The 6,601-nt window shown below is 36.1% G+C and overlaps 1 annotated feature.

Moving 5' to 3' along the window:
- Nucleotides 980-2,179: an enhancer, noted in NCBI's record as "BRD4-independent group 4 enhancer chr2:150734031-150735230 (GRCh37/hg19 assembly coordinates)". NCBI's record gives its function as "activates an origin of replication core promoter dependent on BRD2, P300/CBP, MED14 and CDK7 cofactors, and independent of BRD4, by STARR-seq in HCT116 cells {active_cell/tissue: HCT116}" and the evidence as "EXISTENCE:reporter gene assay evidence [ECO:0000049][PMID:35650434]".

The following is a 6,601-nucleotide window of genomic DNA, read 5'->3' as shown; positions in this document are numbered from 1 at the left end:
TCCAACACTATGTTGAATAGGAGTGGTGAGAGAGGGCCCTGTCTTCTGCCGGTTTTCAAAGGGAATGTTTCTAGTTTTGGCCCATTCAGTATGATATTGGCTGTGGGTTTGTCATAGATAGCTCTTATTATTTTGAGATACATCCCATCAATACCTAATTTATTGAGAGTTTTTAGCATAAAGTGTTGTTGAATTTTGTCAAAGGAAGAAAGGAGAGAAGAATCAAATAGAGGCAATAAAAAATGATAAAGGAGATATCACCACTGATCCCACAGAAATACAAACTACCATCAAAGAATACTATAAACACCTCTACACAAATAAACTAGAAAATCTAGAAGAAATGGATAAATTCCTCAACACATACACCCTCCCAAGACTAAATCAGGAAGAAGTTGAATCTCTGAATAGACCAATAACAGGCTCTGAAATTGAGGCAATAATTAATAGCTTACCAACCAAAAAAAGTACAGGACCAGATGGATTTGCAGCCGAATTCTACCAGAGGTACAAGGAGGAGCTGGTACCATTCCTTCTGAAACTATTCCAATCAATAGAAAAAGAGGGAATCCTCCCTAACTCATTTTATGAGACCAGCACCATCCTGATCCCAAAGCCTGGCAGAGACACAACAACAAAAAAAGAGAATTTTAGACCAATATCCCTGATGAACATCAATGCAAAAATCCTCAGTAAAATAGTGGCAAACCACCGATTCCAGCAGCACATCAAGAAGCTCATCTACCATGATAAAGTGGGCTTCATCCCTGGGATGCAAGGCTGGTTCAACATATGCAAATCAATCAACGTAATCCAGCATATAAACAGAACCAACGACAAAAAGCATAAGATTATCTCAACAGATGCAGAAAAGGCCTACTGTTCTTCTGAGTACCTATTTTTAACTTTGTTTCTCTTGATATTCATCAAGAAAATATACACATGCTTTTAAAAAAATTAAGCAAAATACAGAATAATATGTTTCAATTCCAAGATGTTTACAATTTTGGCTTGTTTCTGTTCATTTTTAAGGGAGTATGTCAAACTTCCACCTCTCTTATTTACGCCTAACTTGAGTTGTGTGTCACTTTATTTTGACAACGTACTGTAATTATCCTTAAAGCAACTATTCCTACAATGTACAAGGTTAGCCTAAATGCTATTAAATAACAATATTTAATGGTTACACACAAGTAACTACTACTACTGAGCAATCCTCTCTATGACAAATACTTGGAGTTAATTTCAAAAAGTAGAAATGAATTCATGTCGATTCATTCACACTGTCTCATTAATTTGCATTTTAGATTTGAAATCAGCATTTAGCAAAATAAGATGTACACCCAACCATTTTTGATACTCACATACTTTTATGGCTCTTTGTTTTTGAATCCTATGACTTAGACAAAAAACTGAGATATGTGGATGTTTCCTCTAATTTTATGTACTGTTGTGTCTTAAGATGAATACCCCATTGTCCTGATTTCTGTGATTACTGGCAAATGTCCCTCTTTTTAGTCTCCTTCCGCATACCAGGTGCAGATCTCATTTGTGACTCCACCTCTGTGACCTACTCTCAGAGCCAGTTGTGGCTACTTATTTAAAGCAACAGCAATTTCATGTGTCATTCATGTTTGTCTTCAGACCTGGAATTCAGCCATTGTGAGTTGTCAAAGAGGCCAAACTACAAACTGCTGTGGTCTGAGTTCAGAACAGAAGTTCTTCTCATAAGGATGAGTTCAATTCACCATGCTCTTCTGGGCCCCACAACATAGAGAAGCAATGCTTCAGACAATTACATCTCAGTCTGACCTTCCACTTTCTTAAATTAATAGTTAAAATTTCTCAATGTTTATTAAATTGTAAATCTGCTAATTTCCCTTCTTCCTCCCAAGAAGGAACTTTGTTTCCAATCTAAAGATAATAGACGCCATCTGTATTAGTTTTCTGGGCTATCATTACAAAGTATCACAGACTGGCTGGCTTAGACAATAGGAATTTATTTTCTCACAGTTGTGGAGGCTAGAAGTTTGAGATCAAGGTGTTCACATGTTTAGTTTCTTCTGAGACCTTTCTCCTTTTCTTGCAGATGGCTGCCTTCTCCCTGTTTCTTCTTCTGGTGTTCCTCTGTGTGTGTCCATGTCCTAATCTTCTCTTCTTACAAGGATATCAGTTAGCATTAGGGCCCAACCATATGACTTCATTTTACCTTAATTACTTTTTATCTCCAAATACAGTGACATTTTATGATACTGAGAGTAAAGACTTCAGCATACACAGTTCTGGGTTGGGGAGGTTCTGTATTAGTCTGTTTTCACACTGCTATAAAGATATACCTGGGACTGGGTCATTTATAAAGAAAACAGGTTTAATTGACTCACGGTTCCACATGGCTGGAGAGGCCTCAGGAAACTTAATCGTTGCAGAAAGGGAAGCAGGTTCATCTTACATTGGGGCAGTCAAGAGAGGGTGTGAGCATGTGAAGGAGGAACTGTCAAACACTTATAAAACCATCAGATCTCCTGAGAACTCACTATCAGGAAAACAGCATGGGGAAACTGCCCCCATGACCTATCACCTCCCACTGGATTCCTCCCTCGACATGTGGGGATTGTGGGGATTACAATTCAAGATGAGATTTGGGTGGGGACACAGCCAAACTATATCAGGGTCATAATTCAGTCCATAACTCACTTTCCACCTGCAAACCTACATGTGCACCACATTCTCTCCTCCTCCCTTCAATTAGTTTATAACCAATTCTTCTAACAGGATCCTAAGTCCTCCCTCCTTTTCAGGAGTTTTGAGCTAGTAATTAATTATTGCTTCTCTTCCTATGAAATCAGTCCTATAGAAAAGTAATATTTCTCAAATATCTTTCATCTAAAAAATAAATAAAATAAAGCAACACATTTATCACACTCCTGTTTCCCACACCTCCCCAAGCCAGACTCAGGTCATATATCATCAGAAAAGTGACCCCAAACATAAATACAAAGTTTGATAACTCACATAGGTACCCACCAGCTAGGTGAGGAACCAGAGCACTGCTAGCTCGCCACAAACCCCTCACCCAGTTGTGGCCTCTTGCAATCATTATTTCCTCTCTTCTGCTTAAGGGAGATCACACTCTCCTGACTCAGAACACTACCGTTTAGATTTGCCTGTTTGTATAACTTGATCATATGCACTCTTTTATTATTATTATTTCTCAACATCATACTTTAAAAGTTCATCCATGCTAGTGCAGCGATTCATTGATTTCCATTTCTTATAATTTTTCATGGTATAAATTCAATGACTTTTAACAAAAATAAGTGGTCATGTAACCACCACCTCACAAAAGACATAGAACATTTCCAACACCCCAGAATGTTTTCTCATGTTCCTTTGTAGTCAGTCCTCTCCCCAACCTACAGACCCAGAAAACCATTGATCTGCTGTCACTACAATTTTGCCCTTTCTAGAATTTTATGGAGATGGAATCGTACTGTACATAGTCATTTGTTTCTGTCTTATTTCACCCAGCATGATGCTTTTGGAATTCGTCCATGTTGTTGTATGTATTGGTAGTTTGTTCCTTTTTATTACTAAATTATATTTCATTGCAGGAATGTACTACCATCTGTGTATCCATTGGCAAGTTGGACATTATTTACTGTAGTTTTAATTTGCATTTCCTTATTACTGATGGCATTATCAATCATATATCTATGTTCTGTGTGTCTGCCCAATATTCTTACTCCTTGTCCTGTTACAGACTTTCTTATTCATTTGCTTTCTTGATTCTCTCAATTGTATGCCTGTTTTCTATTTTGGTAATTTGTGTCTTTTCCCATTCTTTTCCACATTTTACTTTATTTGCATTGAATTTGCTGTTCTATTTCTATAGTTCTACTCCAAGCATTTGAGGGTGCTACAGATTAAAAATTTATGCATCATAAATAGCTGTTTACCTATTGACTAACATATAGCAACTGACTTGAAAATTATATCTTCTAAAGGATATTTAAAAATATTTATAAAACCATAAACCATGGTTTTTATATGACTGAAATTTAGCAAAATACAAAGATGCCTAAGTTTATTATTGCACATGACCTGGACATTCTGTTTGGACCAACAATTTTTGGAATAGAAATAAAATTAATTCATCCCTGATTTATAAGTGTGATACATTTTTTCAGAAAAATAAATGTTTGCCTTCTTTTCAGCAAAATAATTATTATAATAATATAATTAAAAATTTTACAAAATTAGTTGTCTATTTAGAAACTTAAAGGTTTTTCATGAAACATTATGGGTCTTAGATGATTTTAATTTCAATTTGGAGAAATTTTGCTCTACTAAGATTTTGGCAAATAGAACAATCGTCAAATTTATCTGAGGATTTTATATATAACATTCAAGCATTATAATGGAGTTATATTTAATAGATATTATAATTGGAAAACATTACAAAATATTTTAATTTTTAATGTAAATTGTTATCACACACATTGCAATTTTCCCTATCTCTTAAAACATTCTAGATCCAAATAGTAGTGTAAATAATCAGCTTCCCCTTTCCTAGGTTATACACAAAAATTAACTTAAAATAAATCATAAACCTCAATGTAAAAGTTAAAAAAACACATAGAAAATATGAGTAAATTTTTGTGACCTTGGGTTAGGCAAAGCCTCCTTGCTTGTGGCACCCAAAGCACAAGCAATAATGAATTATTGATAAATTGGCCTTCAGCAAAGTGAAGACTTTTGTGCTTCAAAGGATACCATCAAGAAAGTGAAACGATAATCACAAAATGGAAGAAAATATTTGCAAATCATATGTTGCTAAGGGACTAGTATCTAGACTATATAAAGAACTTTTACAATTCAATAATAGAAAGACAAACAGCCCAATTTTTAAAGGAGACAAAAGCTCTGAAAAAAACATTTCTCCAAAAAAGATAGACAATAATTACATGAAAAGATGCTCAGCATCATTAGCCATTAGGAAAACACAAATCAAAACTACCATGAGATGCCACATTATACCCACTAGTTTGTCTATAATCACAAAGACAGAAAAATAACAATTGTTGGCAAAAATGAAGAGAAATTGGAACCCTCATATACTGCCAGTGAAAACGTAAAATAGTGCAGCCACTTTGGAAAACAGTCTTGCAGTTCCTAAAAGTTTAACATAGACTTGCCAATGACCCATCAATTCTATTCCTAGGATATACCCAAGAGAAATAAAAGAATATGTCCACACAAAAATTTGTACATGATTGTTCATAGAAGCACTATTCATAACAGCCAAAAAGTGAAAACAAATGTCCATCGATTTATGAATGGATAAATTAAATGTCATTTATCTGTGCAAGAAAATATTATCCAGCAATAAAAATGAAGCACTAATACATTTCAAGGATAAAAGCTGAAAACAATATGCTAAGTGAAAGAATCAGTCTCAAGCTTTATGTATGTTTCATCTGCAGTATGGGGGAAGGGTGCTCCCTCAGGCTCTAGGCTTTAAGGATTCTCGTGGTCATTTTTGCCTTGTAAATCTATTGAAATCTTTGCTCAGTATCTCAACTCCACAGTGGTTTTGTTTTTCCAGAATCATCAGATGTTTCTATGGAGTTTTCCTTCTCCAAGATGTTGGCCCCTTAATTTATTACAGCCTTGTCATAATTCCAATTATTTTAGTCAGATATTTTTCTACTTTTATACAGCTTTTATGAGCAGTGGGAGGATTTGTCTAAACTGCCCTGAAGGCTGGGTGGGTTGGCCCATGCCTGTAATCCCAGCATTTTGGGAAGCCAAGGCAGGAGTATTGCTAGAGCTCAGCAATTCAAGACCAGCCTGACCAACACAGTGAGACCCCCATCTCTACAAAGAATAAAAAAATAAAAAATTAGCTGGGTGTGGTGCTGCATGCCTGTGGCCCCAGCTACTTGGGAGGCTTAGGCAGGAGGACCATTTGTGCACGGGAGTTCAAGGTTGCAATGAGCCATGATCACGTCACTGCACTCCAGCCTAGGTAACTGAGGAAAATCCTGTCTATAACAGAAAAATTAATGAATTAATTGTTTGCCCTGACCACCATTACTGAAAGCCTCTCCTGTGGCATGATCTTTTTTTAAAAAAGATGAACTTGATTATTTTTATTATGTCATTAACCTGCTTTCATTGTCCTTAGGATTACTTTAAAAACCTTCCATCTGGTTTATAGTGCCCAGACTGTTTTGTCTCCTGCTCCCAACAGTGGTTATCACAGATGCCCTCCCTTACATGCTACCCTTTAGTGATCCTGGCCTTTTTCCAGGTTCCTCTGGGTAATATGTCTCCTCTCAACTCAGAATCTGACCTTGAACCTCTTCAACTTTTCCCCCAACAATTTTGTCAAAATTGTGCTCATTGGTCAATGCTAGCCAGAGCCCTAAGGCTCATTTTTAATAAATGTCTCATTGGAGATTAAGACATAAACCAGAAATTGTTTTTAATTTATAAATTTCAGGCTAGTCTCACCCTGTATCAGATATTCCTGTGGCTCCTGGGAGCTAAAACATGTGTTCACAGTTTCTTAGGACAGTAATCTTCTCTGCACAGTGGC

The sequence above is a fragment of the Homo sapiens genome, chromosome 2, assembly GCF_000001405.40.
Source record: "Homo sapiens chromosome 2, GRCh38.p14 Primary Assembly".
In the NCBI taxonomy this organism is placed as follows: domain Eukaryota; kingdom Metazoa; phylum Chordata; class Mammalia; order Primates; family Hominidae; genus Homo; species Homo sapiens.
This window is presented reverse-complemented; position numbering and strand designations above follow the sequence as displayed.